The sequence below is a fragment of the Homo sapiens genome, chromosome 7 (genome assembly GCF_000001405.40).
Source record: "Homo sapiens chromosome 7, GRCh38.p14 Primary Assembly".
Taxonomy (NCBI): Eukaryota; Metazoa; Chordata; class Mammalia; order Primates; family Hominidae; genus Homo; species Homo sapiens.
The window spans coordinates 107,163,074-107,182,706 of NC_000007.14; the positions used below are offsets into that span (position 1 = coordinate 107,163,074).

Sequence of the window (19,633 nt, forward strand, 5' to 3'; positions counted from 1 at the left end):
GTGACTTCACTAAAGTCATTTACTTTGTGAGTCAATGGCAGAACTTATGGAAAATTGAGATATATTGATTCTTCATCCAATTCATGGCCTCATATATTTTCCCAAATAATGTTAATGAGCCTGGCATATAAATTGGTATATAGTTTCCAATGCAGAGAATAAGATTATTTTGAGAGGAAAACTTTTGATGTGACCAACAGATCTGGGTCTTTCTTTACCTTTTTATGCTTCAAATTTATAAATCTAAAATTGCCTAGAAAATCCTGAAGAAGTATGTATCACATATATAGGAAAATGTGGTGATACATGATAGGGAAGTAATGTCTACACCACAAAAATGAATGCTACCTACCAAGGAGGTGGTTTTCACAGATTTTGATGTAACCATAGCCTGAGTCTCATCATTTTTCCAAATATAAAAAATGCTACTACAAAATGTATATATATTAAATCATGTTTTATCAGCACCAATTATAACTGATTCATTATAGCATATAAATGCATTTTTTACTGTCACTGGAAAACAGAAAATGACCTTTTTTTCAGGCACAAGGGAAAGTTTTCTGTAGCTTTTGACTGTAACAACCCAGACATGAAACCTTAAATATTTTCTATTTAACTTGAAAAGAAAGGTTACAAAGTAGACCTTCGAATGAGTTTATGAACAGGAAATATGACCAGTTAAAATCTTAGATAAAGTTGCTATTGATGACTGGTTTTCCATCTTGGTTCTAATCAGAAACCTTCCTAGATCTTGCTGAGGAACAAGAGAATAAACTCTGCATCCCTGAAACTTCATCACCTCTCTTAGGCCAAGGGCTGACATTTAATACAAGTGTACTTCCTTTACATAATGACTATATTCTTGAGGTATATACAAATGACATTTTTTAAAAGCCAAGCAATATTTTAAGAAAGGTGCACACTATAAAGACATCTTTGGTAAATCTATTTTCTCATAATTGCACTTTAAAGCTGAACAATTAAATATCCTCAACATTTTTATTACTTATATTCTGTATAACTTGAAGGAGTTGAAGTGTTAATTAGGTTGGTGCAAGAGTAATTGTGGTTTTTGCCATTTTTTAAATGGTAAAAATGGTAAAAATCACAATTACTTTTGCAGCAACCCAATACTTTGTTTGCCTTTGAGTGACTGACACTGTGAGGGAAACAAAAATGAATAATAGTGCTTATCATATAAACATAGCTGAAAGATGAGACGTTCTCAAATAATAACAATGATTACATAGAGGAAGTGACAGTTAAAGTGCATGCAAGTTATTTAACAAAGTCAAATATTCAGACCAGCATCCTATATATAGTGCTACACTACGCTGTATATGAGAAAATTCATGCTGCTTGTCTCCCCTTTTTATTCATTTGTTCCACAGGTAGGTATTTTTTTAATAGCTTATTATGGACCAGACAAAAAAAAGCGCATGAGATGGTGACTGATAAGGAGAGAATGTAAATGTGGAGGGGGGACAAATGTAAGCAACAATATTCAGTTTAGCACAGTGTGATAAAAGCGATGTGTGTACTATTCCTACTTTTTTTTTTTTGAGACAGAGTCTGGCTCTGTCACCCAGGCTGGAGTGCAATGGTGTGATCTCGGTTCACTGAAACCTCTGCCTCCTGGGTTCAAACGTTTCTCCTGCCTCAGCCTCCCGAGTAGCTGGGAATACAGGTGCGTGCCACCACACCCAGCTAATTTTTGTATTTTTAGTAGAGATGGGGTTTCACCATTTCGGCCAGGATGGTTTTGATCTCTTGACCTTGTGATCTGCCCACCTCAGCCTCCCAAAGTTCTGGGATTACAGGCGTGAGCCACCGTGCCCCGCCCTATTCCTACAATTTTAATTGCTCTTTATCTGACTTAATTGCACTTAAAATGAGGTACTTTTTGCTAGCAACTAAACATAGAGAAGGTCCTAGGATACCAAATAGACGGGAGTAGAAAATACTATGTGAGAGTTTGTGTTAAATAGTTCAGATAACAGTAATGATCTCTAGAAAACTTGCAGGACATGAGAATAGTCATTTGAGCTTGATTTTAAACATCGAGAGTGAGATGAAATAGAATTGTTGCCTTCTCTAAATACATTTTCATTTATACCAAATTAGACTTGACAAAAACTTTTTGGGAAAAATTGGGATAAAAAAATGAGTACTCCTCTCTATGTCCTGAGGATACCCAGGTTTATTTCTCCAGACTTGGACTTCCTAAATGCCAGATGAATATATTCAGCTGCCCAAGGACCTCTGGACTCAAATTTCTTCCTGCACAGCATGCTTATCACCCGAGGTTGAACCTATCCTTTCCCTTCCTCCCAGTCCCCAAATCTGCTATCCTCTCCAGCATTCCCTCAGTCAATAACATCAACATAACCACCCTTCCCCAACATACTGCAATTACCCAAGCTGGAGACACAATCATTTTGATTCTTCCCTTTTACGTTGATTTTTCTTCCTAATGTGGTTATAGTGTTAAGACATTAGCTTATCAGCCACTGAAGAAAGGTCTTGCTTTCTGGTCATCGGAGCAAAATCTAAACTTCAGTTGCATCAAGAACTACAGGAACAGGAGACAGATGACTCACTTCTACAATGGCCATCATTAGCTCCTGTGGATTTCATTACAACTTGACTGAATTACCTGAGTACTTTGAACTAATTAGAAAATTAACTCATTTGAAAGGATAGTAAGGTATATGGAAGGATATTTGTTGGAGTTTAAACATTCAAGATGCTGTCTGAAAACTTTGAGAAGTACTTAGACCATACATGTGTTCAATTTCTCCATTTAGTACTTGTTCATGTGATTTCATTTGTTTACCTTTTGACAATTCAAAGTGATTATTTTCAATATCAGGCAATGCATGTACTTGAACTTCTCTGTAGTTAAGCAAAGCAGTCATTGGTGTGTCAAATATGGTGGAATCAGGGAAACACATTATTTCACTCCTAAATAGGATTTACCGGTTTTTTGTTTTTCTTCTGTTCGTTTTTTACTATCTCTAACAAATTAGAACTTGATATTTAAGATAACAGAGGTAACTTTACAAACCGCTGGAAAGACATTTTGATTTGACAATTTCTTGACATTTTTTTGCATACATTTTATGTGTGTATATGTGTGTATAGATATGGTGACTGTACCAATCAAGAAGAGGTGTTATTTAAAGTAACTGATTTTTTAACTTCAATTTTATCATGGAAACATCTGAAAGATAGTTAAAAACTGTAGTTATATCTGTTTTAGTCTGAGAGTATAATTAGCACATGTAAAAATTTCCAAGGAGATCTTACTAGTTTTGTACTTTGATCTTTGTTCTGGCTTATAAGTTGGCTAGTTTTATTGGTCACTCAATTAATGATGATGTCTCTGGTAAATACACATAAGCTACTAATGTGGTCATTTAGCCCCCCACGGAAGTCAGAAGATTGGACTAAGTGTCCACTTAAAGGTGTAGCGAATTCTAATACTAGTATTTAATCAGTTGTGACTAAACTATCTAAATTTAACTCATATTAAAGACTTGGATAAAAATGAGAAAAAGTGTGCAAAAAATGTTTTCTATCTTTTTATTCTCAATAATTGGCACAGTGGTCAAAAAATGGAACTAAACGTTTCTGAATGAATGGAAAAGGCTTTATGGAGCTATTAAAGGATAAATTATTATTTGTAACATATTGTACAATATCTGGATCTAAAGTTGAATTTTTTTTCCCCATTTCCGGTGTCCCCCGATAAAAAAAATCACCACTAAGGCATTTGGTAAAAACTTTAAAATAGTTTAACTTTTAAAAACAAGGTTTAGCTGAAAGCAGATCTCACAGTTTGTGTACTGGAGAGGGGTAAAGCAGTATGTCAATCTCTTGCCAGCTCTTTTTTTTTTTTTTTTTTAAGAGAAAAGTTTTTTAGTTTTCTAGGAGGAGTTAGACATAAATATCTCAAAACAATTTTAAATAATTAGGTGAACTTCACAGATTTTTCTTTTTTGTCAAGAAATTACATGTTGGAGTAGAGTTTATATTTTCTATTCTAGTACACGATGACCCTCCATTGTAAAAAAAAAAAAAAAAAAAAAAAGCATACACAAAGTAGCAGAGACATTCATTTCTTTGAGTCACTAATAATTTCTGAAAGATGATAAATTCAAATCCTGTCCTTTTTCCTCAGGGAAAAAATTAAGCATTCTGTTGGCTCTCCTCTGAATTATTTTAATAAAAAATAGAATGCTTTATTACTATTTGTGAACATAGAAAGTAAGTATTTGATTACACGGGAGGACTACTTTATAATTTCACTTCACGGATTCAAATGGGGAATTCTCAAGAATTTTAAACTCGATTTCAACATGTGGGGGCTTATTTTGGATTTCTTGATTTGTTACGCGGCTTTCAGGTATATTTAAAAATCCAAGAAATGCAGGAGGTTTTAAAGAAATAACTAGCTGTGTGATTTCTGGCTCTGTCCAAAGGTTTGCTTTTACAGATTTCTTACTAATGTAGGTTTTCCTCATCTTAATTCTAAGCATATATTTAGTGATCTAAAGTTAGAAAATCTAAAGCACAATTTAAATGATTAAACACTAAAGGTTCAAAGGGGGGAAAAAGCTTAATCATGCCTTTGTAATGTGAATGGTAAAGACACCAATTATTGACTAGATGCAGCCGACTGTGAATGGACAGCCATGTTTAAAGAGAAGTTAACTATAAAGCAGGGAAGCGTCTCTGGTGAGTCAGAGAATTCGTAACTTGAGGAACTCCTAGTGGAAATGAAGTGGAAAGACAGTTTCTTTCATCAATGAGAAAACGTCTAGAAGGAAAAGAGGGTTAATAAAACTCACCAGAGAAACTTACTGATAATGATTCACAAATTAAATCAGTTTACGTCATACATTACACCCTTTGTATTACGTTAACCAACGAGCATACTAATCAGTATGGAAAATGCCGCTTTAACTTGCCTCAATTTCGTAATCGCCCGCCCCCGCCCCCGCTTTGTAAATTCTCTAGACTCCAGCTTCTCGCTTGCTCACAGTCCATCCCCCAGCCTCACTCTTCCTGGCACTTAGGTGGCGGCTCAACAAACTTAGGTGAACTGAACAGAGCTGACAAGGCAATCTCAAGTTGCTGTCCTGGGAGTGGTGAGGCAAGGCACAAGAGAAAGGACTTCTAGTTCTTCCCACTGCCAGTGCAGCCCCCAGCATCACTTTCGACCCCTTCGTGCCTGGGGCCGTGATTTGTGGGTGATCAAGTCCCTCGCTAGCCTGCAGTACTTCCGCTGGTGCAGTCATCTCCTTCCCCTCGCACTAAAACAATACCCTGGCCTCCTGCCAAACTCTTGAGCAGCGAGCAACTCTGGCTGTTTATGGCCCGGATTGGGTGCTGCAAGAGGCTTGGGCCGCTCTAAGTGTTAGCAGAGGCCCGGAGGAAAAGAAGAGGCCCAAGCTTTAAAACACTCCCTTCCTCCGCCCCCTCCCTTTTGTCCCAGACACCAAAACAAACGAGCTGATACACGTGTCCCTATGACTCTTGTTTACTATCAAGACTGCGCTGTGCGAGCGCCTCTGGGATACGTAGTCCAGCTCTTCCCCGGCCAGCAGTCTCCCACAGCCAAGGACCAAGGCTTGAGACTACGAACCCACAATCCATTTCGGGGACAAAGTTTGGCTTGGGTCCCCGGACTCTCGGCAATAGTCCAATCCGAAGCACTTACTCTTGTGATTGACATGCCATCTTCTCCAGTAAACACAACACAAAAGTCAATACATGCCCGCCCCCCGAGACGGACCACGGTACCACCCAATGGGAAAGGGGAAGAACCGAATGGCAGTTCTGCAGTCCAATAAGAGGGCGAAAGAGCTGGGCGGGGCTCAACCCCCAGGGGGTTGAGGGGAGGGGGAAGACGAAGCTTGAAAGACTTGGTAATGGCGACGGGTTTGGTAAGTAGGAAAGTTTCGGTTGAGGAGTAAGAGCTGCCGCGGGAGCAGTAACCCGCGCGGGGGAGGCCGACGTCGGTCGGAGAGGGGGTACGAGAGCTGCTGGTGGTGTTGTCGTGGCCGGAGCGGCCCGCGCCTGGGCTGCCGGCACTTCGCGGCAGGTTTGTTGTCTTTCAGTTAGGGAAGAGGTGGGGGTGGGGAAGGGAGGGGCAGGAGCGCGGGGGATTGGGCAGACTGGAGGGCTCGGGTCCTCGTTCCTTCTTCTCGGAGGGTTGCCCTTGGGGTGGGGGCAGTTAACCGTTCGATTGGTGCCCGCGGCGAGCCCACCGGAGCAGCGTCTCCCGCGAGCTCACCTGGGCTTCGGGGCGGCGGCGCTAGGGGGTCTCGGGCGGGGGCCGGGAGGAGGCAGGGGGAGGGCGAAGTTCCGGGCCAGGTCGCGCGGTGGGTGGCCGGGCCGGGTGTGGAGATGGGGCGGGCCAGGGCGGGGGAAGGGGCCGACGCAGCGCCGGGGCTGCCCAGGAAAGTTTGACTTCAACTCCCCGTTTGTGGGCGGAGGGTCGGAGCTTGGCCAGGGGTGGGGGGCTGGCCGGAGGTGGGGGACCCCAGTGAGGCGCCGCCTCCTTCTGGACTGAGGGGGATTCTGGCTGAGCTGAGGAGCTCGCGGAGCCGCTGGGCCCCGGGGCTCATTGTTACGCAGTTCGAATGAATGGGCTCCCAGGCGCCTGCGCGCTGGGGCTGAGCCGAGGGGAAAAACAAGCCCGGAGTCCGGGCTGCGGTCACATGATGGGGGGAAGGGAGGGGAACGCGATGAATGGCGAAAGAGGGTGGGGGATGGACTTGGCGTGAACCGGGAGGCACCGCTCTGTGTGACCCAAAGAGGAGGCTTGGCAGGCGATTCCAGTCTCCGCCTTTCAACCTATGCTGCCACCGCAGGCCGATTGAAACAAAACAAAACAAACCAGGCGAAGTGGACAGCCAGGTTTTTGTAGCTTTAAATGCTGCGTGCTGTCTAGGGTGTTTCACTCTCCGCTGTGCACTCTACACTCGAGTTCATTCTTAGGGAGTTTTCAGCTACAGTCGTTTTTAGAAGGAGCACTGACAGCGAGGTAATACTCAAGTTTTCTGTTTGTTTTGTTTTTGGCTCATGGTGCCACTGATGCCAGGACGAGAGGAGGCTTAGAAAAGGAGTTATACATACTGGGAAGCGATGGAGTCCTACTAACAGCTCGGATGGAGGCTTTAGCTTTATTAATACTTCCCTCTGAATAGCCGTAAGCACTCCTAATAGTGGTTTTGAAATTAAAGGTACTTTTTGAGAATTAGAATAATTTTAACATTGGAAATACTTTTCTGGTCATTTAACAGTGATCTAAATCTGCAATGTATGTCTTGTACTTTTGGTTTTTTTTTGCTATTTTCCTTTATCTTGCAAATGAGTGTGGTAGAGTCGGTCATCTGTTCAGTTGCCTTGGTTAAACTCAGTTCTTGCAAGGTAGACAGTAGTTGACAAAATTTCAAGGAAATTTGAATTATATTGAGAATTAAATCCACTCCCTAAAGTTTTTGGGTTATGTTATACTTTTGAGGAGCCGTTTAACCACTTTAAAGCAAAATATTGTTTGTGCTTTCTCTACTGATAAATTATAGAATGAAGTTTTGATTTCACTTTCTAGTTTCATCTTAGTTTTGTAAACCTACTTATCTTTTCTGTCTCGAAAACCCTTCCTCTTTCTTAACTTCTCAAACTCCTAACTACATACCCTAGTTAAAAGGGTACCTTCTCCCAGGATTGCCCACCTACATGTCTCCGCTATCCTGTGTGCTTCACAGGGCATACCTCTCAGACGTCAAACATGATACTGTCACTGTAAGAGTTGTTTTCTTCACTATATACATATGTATATGTATAAAATATATAACATATACATGTATATATATAAAATATATAACATACATGTATATATATAAAATATATAACATATACATGTATATATATAAAATATATAACATATACATGTATAAATATATATATATATATATATATATATATTTTTTTTTTTTTTTGAGAGGGAGTCTCGCTCTGTCGCCAGGCTGGAGTGCAGGGGTGCGATCTCGGCTCACTGCAACCTCCACCTTCTGGGTTCAAGCGATTCTCTTGCCTCAGCCTCCTGAGTAGCTGGGACTACAGGTGAGCGCCACCACTCTCAACTAATTTTTTTGTATTTTTAATAGAAACGGGGTTTCACCATTTTGAGCAGGATGGTCTCAATCTCCTGACCTCGTGATCTGCCCGCCTCGGCCTCCCAAAGTGCTGGGATTACAGGTGTGAGCCACCGTGCCCGGCCCACTATATTTTAACTTCTTTGGATTCTTTCCTCACTAATCGAAGTGGCCAGTGAAGAAGGCATATGGCACGATGGCATGGACTTATGAAACTGCTCTGTGCTGAGGGTTCTTCAGGGTGAATTGCAAGCTGGTGTTTTGTATATGTGTTTGAAATAAAAATACTGGTACTCCCCTTTCCACCCCACGCATACATTATCCATTAGAAGTTACTACTGTCCCAGCACGGTGTCTCACGCCTGTCCCAGCGCTTTGAGAGGCTGAGGCGGGTGGATCACCTGAGGTCAGGGGTTCAAGACCAGCCTCGCCAACGTCGTGAAATTGTCTATTAAAAATACAACAGTTAGCTGGGCATGGTGGCGCACACCTGTAGTCCCAGCTGCTTGGGAGGCTGAGGCAAGGGAATCGCTTGAACCCGGGAGGCAGAGATTGCAGTGAGACAAGATCAGGCCACTGTACTCCAGCCTGGGCATCAGAACGAGACTTCCTCTCCAAAAAAAAAAAAAAAAAAGAGTCAATGCCAGGAATTTTATGTCTGTTAAGTATGAAAGTGAGTATTTACTTAGAATGGAAAAATAAATCACAATGAATTAAAAAAAAATTAAAGCTGCCAGATACCTGCATATCACAAAATTCAGGGAAAAATGGCATACTCTAATATTCTTATTAATTGCCTGATATCAGTAACATTCACATTTTTCATATACTTATCAGCATTTACTTTGGTGCTTCATAATTTCTACTATCATTTTCTATAGAGAAACTAGAAACATAATTTTCTCCATAATTGTGGTTGAGTTTTTAAAAGTTATTGATCATAGCTTTAAAAAAAAGCTTTTCCCACAAGTTTTTATAGATAATGTAAAAATGTTTAGGAGTTTATCTTATACTTTTGAGGAGCCATTTAACCACTTTAAAGCAAAATATTGTTTGTGCTTACTCGACTGATAAATTATAGAATGAAGTTTTGATTTCACTTTCTAGTTTCATCTTAGTTTTGTAAACTCAGTGAACCACATTATGGAGAAAATTATGTTTCTAGTTTCTCCATAGAAAATGATAATAGAAATTATGAAGCACCAAAGTTTAGGAAAACAAGTTTCATAAGAATTTTTAGATGATGTCGTTTTAATATGTGACTTATCTTATATGACTCATCTTAAATACTTATTTGAATTGACAGTACTCCTAAAACAGTTTGTGGATGACTGCTTCTGCTATTAATGGGTTTTCTATTGTCTTGATCAATATAGTATTTCATGTTGAATGAGCATGAAATTACTAAGAACTTGTATAGATGTGGATTGGGCAGTGTCTGTGGGATGTAATATCTTTTATACCTACAACAATTCTGATAGGTAGATAGGTACTAGTCCCATTTTTTTTTACTTATTTTTAAAAATTTTTTAGAGATGGGATCTTGCTATGTTGCCCTGGTTGGTCTTGAACTCCTGGCTCAAGCGATCTTCCTGTCTTGGTCTCCCAAAGTGCTGGCATTGCAGGCCTGAGTGACTGGGCCTGGCCACTAGTCTTATTTACAAATAAAAAAAACAGGTCCAAATAAGAAAACAGGCCTAGAGATTTAATTGTTCAGGGCCATGAAAGTGGTAAGTGACCAAAACGAATCCACTAAGGGTTTTTGTTGTTGTTTTGTCTTTTCTTGTAGCCCGGTGGCAAACTAGAGTTGTAGACAAATACCTGTGAAATCTTTTGAAGTTTTGTTGAAAATACTCTAAAAGAACAGCATTACAGCCTCAGAGATGCTTTTGGTATAGAAAGTTGCATTTAATATACTTTGTTATGGAGGCTTGTTTTAGCATGTAATTATGTAATCCATTTAAAATACCTCAGTTTCAGAGATAGAAATTAATTGCAAATTACCTTTTCTTCACCTACTCTTTGAAAACAATTTGAGCGTGTAGTCTGGACTGGTTATGGAAATCCTTCAGGATTAGGGGAGAGCATATAGAAGATCCTGCTGTGGATTCCATGATGATGATGGAAAAGTAAGGATTCAGGGAATAATAGGCACTTGAAAGCAGGAAGTAACCCATGCTGGCTTATACCTTTTGTCTTTTTTCCCTCTCAGCTCTCGCCTTCAAAAAGAAAATGATCCCATTTAGTCATCATAGTCCTGTTTTCCTCATCCATAATAATACTTTATTCACAGAGTTGTTCTGAGTTTAAAATAAAATTAGATGAAGTACATGGAAGTGCTGTGTAGGTAAGCATTTTGTAAAACTGTTTCCTTCTTCATTCATTGAGACTTAGGTTTTTCTAGTTCTCTCTTTCTCTCCTGTCTTAAGATTTTGTGGATATTTGCTTCTGGAAGTTTGCATACCAAAAGCAATGGGGCATTCTAAGAAAGTAAAATTTGTAACACTGAACATGACATTTCAGAGTACAACTTCTGGAAAATAGATACTGAGAATCACTGATCTCGTGAAGAGATGACATGTGCAGAGTTAACTAAAATACAAGGCAAGCTGTGTTGAATCTGATACCAAAGCAGTATACAAAAGCATGAATGAACAATAGGGTTAGCTCTACCAGGAGATATTTGAAAGAGGAGCTTGTTTATCAAAATGAGTATGTAATTGGTATAATATATGTAGGGGAGTAAGAAATGTAAGGGCTTCCCTGGTATTCCTTTATTGTATTGGAGACCTTGCTTTCTTTCTTCAGAATAGTTGAGAATAGACAGAAGAGACAGAAAATTTCCATTTGTATGTAGTTTTGAATTTTGTTTTCATATATTGAATTCTCAGAATAGCCCTGTGAGGTAAGTAGAGGGACCGACCGTGAGTCTGAGATTGAGTGAGTGACCTGTCCCCGGTTACACAGCTAGTAAGAGTGAAACTGAAGTCTGTTGTCTTGAAGTGTAGCTTCTCTTACTGTATGGTAGCTTTACAGTAGCAGAACTTCAGTTTTCTCAGGACCAAACTTCTGATAGCCTTGAGCAATGAGAGGTGTGAACACATAGAACTTATATTCAGTAAATATTTATTTGGTTCTTTTGGTTATTTATAGGTAGCTCTGTTTTGAAATTAAAATAATGTCTTTTTCCAACTTCATTTAAGGAGTTTTGGGATGGTGGTTGATAACTAAGACAAAGTGCTGAAGAAATGATAGAAGTTGCAAAGAGACGTTAGTGTACTATACTTGGTGAATGTTGGAAACTGCAGGACCTGCTGTAGGGAAGAAAAAAGTTCTAGCTGGAAAGAATGAGGAAACCAAAGAGCTCTGCAGAGGGAGGGGGAAGACAAGACAGACTGCAGCTGTGCTTCTGTGGACCCCAAGAACAGCACTGTTCATACACAGAGGATAGCTCTGAAGAGAGATACCTGTGTAGTGCAGCTTCTAAATTTCATAATAAAGGTAAAAATGGGAAATGTTTTCAGTTCAGATAAGGTTGACTGTGCAGCTCACATCTGTATGTGAAGCATAGTACGGATATTCATAAGGATTTTTAGTTATCAAAATAGGTTAAATTATATTCTGTATACTTAAGATGCCAGAAATACTTCTATGGAAAGAGTTAAAATCTCCTATCTAAACTGTTAATATTAGGTGTTTAAAGAACTCACATAGTATGACTAGTTTCTCTCTTAAGAGTTAATAAATAAGGAATCTGCACTGAGAACCATTGCAAAGGAAGCTGGAGACGGGTGGCTTTCATAGAGACTGGGAATGTGAGTGCTCTCTTTAAAAAAAAAAATACCCTCCTTAAAATATTATAGGTGTTCCTGCATACTCATACAGTATTTCAGTATGATTTTGTCCATAGACTCAAAGAGACTGTTTTAAAGTATAGTTCTGATCATGTCAGACCTCTTTTAAAAAAAAAAATCATCAGTGGTTCTTCATTGTCTGATAATTGCTAATCATAACACTAGCCACTGTACATTGAAGGTTTGCTTTGTGTTAGGCTCTATTCTGAGCATTTTACATGATCTCACTGAGTTTTTGTAGCAGCCTGTGAGGTAGGTACTTTTATTGCCATTTTATAAACAAGGCATGAAGATTTTAAGTAAATTATTTAGGGTACATAGCTAGTAAGTGGCAAATCTGGTATTTAAACTCAGGCAGCCTGATTTCAGAGCCCCTATTCTTGTCTCTAAATAAATAAATAGTTTTCCTAAACTACAATTGAAGACTCTGATCCTAGACTACCTTTCCATATAGTAGTAGTAGTAGTAGTATAGCCTCAGTGTTCATGATCACATGACACACAAGGCCATCCTACTTTGTGGTAAAACTAGATTCTATATTCTGATCTCACTAGGACTTTGCCAGCTATATGAGTTTACTCATGTGAGTTTCTCTCATTGGGAGACCTCCCTCTCTTCTTTTTTTTTTTTTTTTTTGAGACGGAGTCTTGCTCTGTCGCCCAGGCTGGAATGCAGTGGCGCAATCCCAGCTCACTGCAAGCTCTGCCTCCCAGGTTCACGCCATTCTCCTGCCTCAGCCTCCCGAGTAGCTGGGACTACAGGCGCCCGCCACCATGCCTGGCTAATTTTTTGTATTTTTAGTAGAGACAGGGTTTCACCATGTTAGCCAGGATGGTCTCTATCCCCAGACCTCGTGATCTGCCCGCCTCAGCCTTCCAAAGTGCTGGGATTACAGGCGTGAGCCACCGCACCCGGCTTTTTTTCTTTTTTCATTTTTTTTTTTCGGAAATGGAGTCTCGCTCTGTTGCCCAAGCTGTAGTGCAGTGGTGCGATCTCGGCTCACTGCAACCTCTGTCTCCCGGGTTCAAGCGATTCTCCTGCCTCAGGTTGCTGAGTAGGTTGGATTACAGGCGCGTGCCACCATACCTGGCTAATTCTTGTATTTTTAGTAGAGACTGAGTTTCACCATGTTGGTCAGGCTGGTCTGGAACTCCTGACCTCGTGATCCGCCCTCCTCGGCTTCCCAAAGTGCTGGGATTACAGGCGTGAACCACTGATCTAGCCCCTTCTTTTCTTTTAACCCATTCATAGCCAAGTCCTGCTCTGTAGAACTATGGTCATTTGCTTATATCTTTCCACTAAAGTCAGACTCATGATGAATTGTTCATTAGTGAGATCCAGCATTGCAACTAATACAATGCCCTGTACATAGTATTTATTAAATAAATGATTTTTTTAATAAGTAGGAATTTAGCAACCATTTTTAGCCCAGTGTATCTCAGTATTCTGCACCTGGAAACAAAAACTAGTGCACAAAGCCATACCCCACACCAAACAGATCAGATCCTCTGGGGATGGGGCCTGGACAACATTTTTTTAAGCATATGTATGATTTCGTGTGCCACAGAGTAGAGAATCACTGATGAAATTAAATTTGCTCCATTTTTTTTTTTTTTTTTTTCAGGGAGAGAGTGGAGGCTTAAAATCGTGATTTCATACTTGAGAAATAGATTTGTGTTACACATTTTCTCTAGTCGCTAGTTCTGTGGGGGAAATTGTTATATCCTAGCATATTTGCTGTAACTATATGCTAAGACTGATTGTGATCAGTACATTGTACTAAACTGGAGAAGCGTTAATTTCTTCCAAATTTCATCTTTTAGGGGCTTGAAGTAATGGCATGATACATGATTTTTATGGAGATGTGCTGGATGACTTGTCATAATATCTCCTAGGGAGGAGACTGTTGAAACTGAATAGCTATCTGGTTTCCACCTGTTAATTATGTATTTTCAGTAGCTGTTCTATTTAGGACATTACAGACCCAAAGTATGTTTAATATTGCCCTATGTCTGGGGATAAAAAAATTTCAAAAGACGTCATTTTACACTTTTTTCACTATTTCATTTCATCTTCACAACTACTATCAGAGGAGAGTAGGGCAGGTATCATTAGCTCTATTTTACAGATGAAGAGAAACTCAGTCACTTAGGTCATATATTTGGTAAGTGATCAAGTTGGAATCAAAACCCGTTTCCTTACATCTAACCCAGTGCCCTTTTTGCTACACCATAATAGTAGCAAATTGTATAGTCAGTATTGAGCAAGGCTCTAAAGCAGTGCCCAGGCTAAGGGTTATTTTTGAGGGATATAGGCAGATAGCATCCAAAATAGAATATTAGACATACAGTAAGGCAATATGCATGCAGTTGGGCTATGTGTCAAGAACGCTGTATCTAGCAATCTAAAATAATCAGATGTAAGCAAATACTTTTAAAAAATAAGAATATAAATTCAGTGTTTAGAAGAGTGAAGAAACTGGGAATAGCATATTCAGTAGTAGAGGGGATAAGTGAATTTCGGTACATCCTTCTGATGTATATTTAACCATTTAGAGCTTTGAAAAAATAACATAGGAAAATGCTTATGAACTTATATTAGGCCAAAAGGTATCAAACTATAATATGAAATATGAAGAAAAACATGATTGAGTATATGTGTACATGAAGAAGAAATTGGATTGTAATACATCAAAATGTAAAAATATCTAAGTCTGGTTGGTGGGGTTAGAAGTAATCATATTCCTTTTTTTCCAAAAAAATTTTTTTTCCCATTTTTTTTCACAGTGATTGTATTTTCTAGTCAGGAATACATTTCAAAACCAAAAAGATCATGAAAAAGTCTTCGTAGAAAGAAATTTATCAGTGTCATCGGTGTTTATTGGTAATTAACATCATGACTTAGAAAGCTTATAAATATTAAGTGATTAACATTTTTTCAGTGCAGTTTTGATCAGCCTGCACTGGGTGCTTGACTTTCAGTGACTTTTAACAGCAATATATTTTATTGCTTTATTTTGAGGAAAAATATGTTGTTGCAAAAGTCAGGATTTTTTTGTGTATTTCATATTCACTCATTAGAACTTTTTCTTTAAGAGGGGGGGTCTTGCTACATTGCCCAGGCTGGATTCCAACGCATAGGCTGAAGTTGTCGTCCCCCTTCAGTCTACCCTAAGTAGCTGGAACTATAGGCATGAGCTACTGCATCAGGCTAGAACTTTTTTAAAAAATGGAATTTAGACTAGAGCCTGAGAAATCAGAAAAATCTTACCATTGTTGCTTATGTTAAATAAAGAACTAATTCGATCGTTGTCCAAAGGGTGAAATAAAAGAGACAACCACATTTTCCTTTCATAATAATATTTAGTTGTTGGATTTTGCTGAGAAATTATTTAAATTTATTAACCCATATTCTCTTCCTTGTGATAATTTTGTAGGCTTGCAGGTAGATTTACTAGTTGTTTAAATTTCCCATGATGATTATTCATCTTTCTATACATAATATCCTATTCAGAATGACAGGTATCTTTTATTATGGCTAGGTCCCAAATTTTCATTAAGAAAACCTAAGAACATTTTTATTTTTATGAGAATTGTAATATATGACCATTTTAAGAAACTCTGAAATGTTATTTAGAAAATGTACTTTTTTTGGCCAGGTGCGGTGGCTCATGCCTGTAATCCCAGCACTTTGGGAGGCCGAGGCGGGTGGATCACCTGAGATCAGGAGTTTGAGACCAGCCTGGCCAACATGGTGAAACCCTGTCTTTACTAAAAATACAAAAAATTAGCTGGGTGTGGTGGCACGCGCCTGTAATCCCAGCTACTAGGGAGGGTTAGGCAGGAGAATCGCTTGAACCCAGGAGGCAGAGGTTGCAGTGAGCCGAGATTGTGCCACTGCACTCCAGCCTGGGTGACAGAGCGAGACTCCGTCTCAAAAAAAAGAAAATGTATTTTTTTAAGTGTGCTGAAGTAGTTCACTTTCAGAATGAAGAAACAAAATAAAAAACACAGTAAATAGAGACATTAAAATAGAATCTTTAAAAAAGGACAAAATAGAATATTCTTCCAGTTTTTTTTAACTTTTATTAAGGAAAGTTTTTAAATTTCCTTTTGAATTTGAAGGTACAAGTGAAAAAAAGAGTCCTATTAGTCTCAGTTTTTGCATCTGAAAGGACGGTTACTAGGTTAAATAAAAGTATATACAATGCCATTTTTCCTCAGCAGAAAAGACTTTTTTTTATAATTCAAGATATTAATCTTTTGGGATTGAAATGTGATTTAGTGCTGAGTATTCAGTTGTAGGCCAAGATGTTAAGGAGTCATCCGGGTCTAAAGGATTTGAGGGAGCTATAAATGGCAGTGTATGATTAAGTTAAAATCTAACACTGTGGCCGGGCGTGGTGGCTCACGCCTGTAATCCCAGCACTCTGGGAGGCCCAGGTGGGCGGATATCTTGAGGTCAGGAGTTCAAGACCAGCCTGGCCAACATGACGAAACCCCATCTCTACTAAAAATACAAAAATTAGCTCGGCGTGGTGGCATGTGCCTGTAATCCCCCCTACTTAGGTGGCTGAGGCGGGAGAATCGCTTGAACCCAGGAGGTGGAGTTTGCAGTGAGCCGAGATCACGCCACTGCACTGCAGTCTGGGTGACAGAGTGTGACTATGTCTCAAAAAAAAAACAAAACAACATTGTCATGTCTCTGATTTATTTTAGGTTTGTGTACTGCCCAAATTGCATGGCTTGACATCATTTCTTAATGTCGTTTTTATTTTAAGTCAGAGCACCATAACATGGTGTGGGAAGTGAAGACAAATCAGATGCCTAATGCAGTACAGAAACTCCTGTTGGTGATGGACAAGAGAGCCTCAGGAATGAATGACTCATTGGAGTTGCTGCAGTGTAATGAGAATTTGCCATCTTCACCTGGATATAACTCCTGTGATGAACACATGGAGCTTGGTAAGCAAAATTAAAAGTTATATAGAAATCTCACTAAGATTCAGATAAATTTTTCTACTTAGCCCGCTTCTCCACCAACCTTGACTGGCTAGAAAGGGATATGAAGTATTTGTATATTAGGAATTTTCAGCATTCTTTTATTGCTTTTAAAATACTACTTAAAACCAACATGAGTTGGGCTATTTATGGTTATTGTAGACACTCATTTACAGATTGTTAAATTAAACTACTTTACTTTGTGTGTAAAGATTGGACCCCACTCGTGGCTTTTCGAAAGATGCTACTTTTGAAATATACTTGAGAGAGCTCAGTAAAATATGCTTAGCCACTCTTCGTGGCAGATTTGCTGGTATGATGTGGAAATTACAGTGGACCCTTGAAACTTGAGGATCTGACATTTATGGTTGTTACTATTGCTAAACTACTCCTGGAGATATGTGACCTTTAGAAATGTGTAAGTTTGTTGAGGTGTGTTTTTGAATTGTATTGCTTCAAGGCTGGTGTTCAGGAGTATGGAGCTAATGAGTCACCTTGGCTTGCTGCCCAGCTTTTCAGCTTGGCTTTGCCCCCATTTAATATATGGGGGTTTCCTTCATGTTTATAAAAACCCTGGGGAGAAGATACAGCTGTCTTAATTTTACAAATGATGAAATGGAGGAGATTATGTACTATGGTAATGTTTGGAAATTTAGAGATCTTAAGCTCTTGGGACACATAACCTGCTTGAATGCCAAGGATTTTCTGGACCCTAGTATTTATTGAGTACTGGTTACTTTTGAGCAAGGAGTGCCATTTTAATCAGGTAGTTGATCTTCCTCAGTTTTTGGTTTAAGGAGGAACTCAGAAACTTAGGGCCGAGGGGAGTATAAATAACATGCCCCTTCCACCTATGACTTCGTTTAAAAAGTAATTTCCTGAACTTCAGAAACAGAAATGAACCCTTTGCAGTAAATAAATGTTGGTCAAAGGCAGTGAGGGAAAGGAAATAGCTATATCAGCATGAAAATTGTAGGGTAGAATTATTTTAAATTAGTGTGATGTTCTAGAACTCCTTGGCTCCTTCATGACTCCATGAAAGAAGTCAGTTTTTACAAATGGATATCCCGAGTCAGTGCTTCTAATTAAAACATTTCAGTTTGGCTTGGCATGATGGTTCACGCTAGTAATCGCAGCACTTTGGGAGGACAAGGTGGGAGGAGTTCAGGACCAGCCTGGTCAACGTAGTGAGATATCATCTCTACAAAAATTTTCTTTAAAAATTAGCTGGGCATGGTGGGTACATGCCTGTAGTCCTAGCTACTTGAGAGGCAGAGGCGTGAGGATCATTTGAGCCCAGGGGTCCAAGGCTGCAGTGAGCTATAATTGTACCACTGCACTCCAGCCTGGGCAACAGAGTAAGACCCTATCTCAAAAAAAAATTTTTTTTTTTTTAAGATAGGACATTTCGGTTTTAGTAGACTATTCTGGAATATTTGCCTGAATAGGAGTTATACATACTTTTATAGTGACATTTAGGAGACTAGAAATTTTCTTGACTTGTATATTTAAGGGACCCAATAGGTTTGTGGAGTTTGTAGGTATGTGTTTCGTGGAGAGTTTTTTTTTTTAAGCCTTCAAGATGCTTTTTCTTCCCTACTACATACACACATACATACAGACATATATATGATTTTTTAAAAGAATATATATATAATTTTTTTTAAGAATTCAGTATTTTGGAATTCATGTTCCTTATAGTGCTTGGTGTGTGCATGAGTGGTAGCTGGGTAATAGTTCCAGTCATCTTATGGGGAGCTGAAAGGGTATCATGAATTGCCTTTTAGGAATGCACTTATAGGAAAAAATAACCGATAAATAACCAGTAAATATTAACAAGTTCAGAATTTATTAGTAAAAAGAAATACTTTAACACAGAGTTGTGTAAGTAGTAGCTAAATATTTATGTGATCTATATTATCATTATGGAAATTATTGTTTATAGTCTGTATAACAGGTTATTAAAGTATGTGAGTAATAAGTCCATATTGCACACATAAAATGCCTTTTTCTTCATTAACTTGTTAATGTAAAAATATCTCAGTGGCATATGGATCACTCCTAGGTGAGGTACAAAACACTAGGGGGAATAAGAAGCAGAAAACACAAACCAAACCATGTTTTTCCAGTCTGTGAACAGAATGTTAAATTTATGATTTTCCTCTCTCAAAATTAATTAGCTAAAATTGAGGACTTCTCTTTTAACTGCAGTTATAATATTGTTCCTTGTATTAGTAATTTCCTTTTTATGATTTTGAGTGTGCTTATTTGCAGATGACCTTCCTGAACTTCAGGCAGTTCAAAGTGATCCTACCCAATCTGGCATGTACCAGCTGAGTTCAGATGTTTCACATCAAGAATACCCAAGATCATCTTGGAACCAAAATACCTCAGACATACCAGAAACTACTTACCGTGAAAATGAGGTGGACTGGCTAACAGAATTGGCAAATATCGCGACCAGTCCACAAAGTCCACTGATGCAGTGCTCATTTTACAATAGGTAGGAGCATTTATTATATTTTTATTGAAACATTCTATCATTACACAAAGGTTTTATTTAAAAATTTTTCTAGTTTAAAAGTAGTAATACTTTAAATTATTAGAA

The 19,633-nt window shown here is 38.9% G+C and overlaps 1 protein-coding gene across 7 annotated transcripts in view, besides 4 other annotated features; it reads left to right on the forward strand.

Moving 5' to 3' along the window:
- Nucleotides 5,458-6,031: a silencer, noted in NCBI's record as "fragment chr7:106808976-106809549 (GRCh37/hg19 assembly coordinates)". NCBI's record gives its function as "represses an EF-1alpha promoter that drives an FKBP-Casp9 reporter gene in an ReSE screen in HepG2 liver carcinoma cells {active_cell/tissue: HepG2}" and the evidence as "EXISTENCE:reporter gene assay evidence [ECO:0000049][PMID:32094911]".
- Nucleotides 5,580-5,739: an enhancer, noted in NCBI's record as "active region_26491". NCBI's record gives its function as "activates an Ori minimal core promoter by ATAC-STARR-seq in GM12878 lymphoblastoid cells {active_cell/tissue: GM12878}" and the evidence as "EXISTENCE:reporter gene assay evidence [ECO:0000049][PMID:35858748]".
- Nucleotides 5,930-19,633, forward strand: part of HBP1 (HMG-box transcription factor 1) — a 33,520-nt gene continuing 19,816 nt past the window's right edge. For 2 of the 7 annotated variants that reach the window (NM_001244262.2, XM_047420190.1), the window contains exons 1-3: nt 5,930-5,954; nt 16,806-16,989; nt 19,300-19,528. In NM_001244262.2, the coding sequence (NP_001231191.1) occupies nt 5,940-5,954; nt 16,806-16,989; nt 19,300-19,528 (428 nt within the window). In that variant the 5' untranslated portion in view covers nt 5,930-5,939. Of the gene's footprint in view, nt 6,113-6,850; nt 7,058-10,383; nt 10,519-11,374; nt 11,673-16,805; nt 16,990-19,299; nt 19,529-19,633 lie in introns of those variants that run through there. The other 5 variants (XM_024446713.2, NM_001439013.1, NM_001439012.1 and 2 more) reach the window with 5 other exon arrangements.
- Nucleotides 6,050-6,149: a silencer, noted in NCBI's record as "silent region_18537". NCBI's record gives its function as "represses an Ori minimal core promoter by ATAC-STARR-seq in GM12878 lymphoblastoid cells {active_cell/tissue: GM12878}" and the evidence as "EXISTENCE:reporter gene assay evidence [ECO:0000049][PMID:35858748]".
- Nucleotides 6,410-6,629: a silencer, noted in NCBI's record as "silent region_18538". NCBI's record gives its function as "represses an Ori minimal core promoter by ATAC-STARR-seq in GM12878 lymphoblastoid cells {active_cell/tissue: GM12878}" and the evidence as "EXISTENCE:reporter gene assay evidence [ECO:0000049][PMID:35858748]".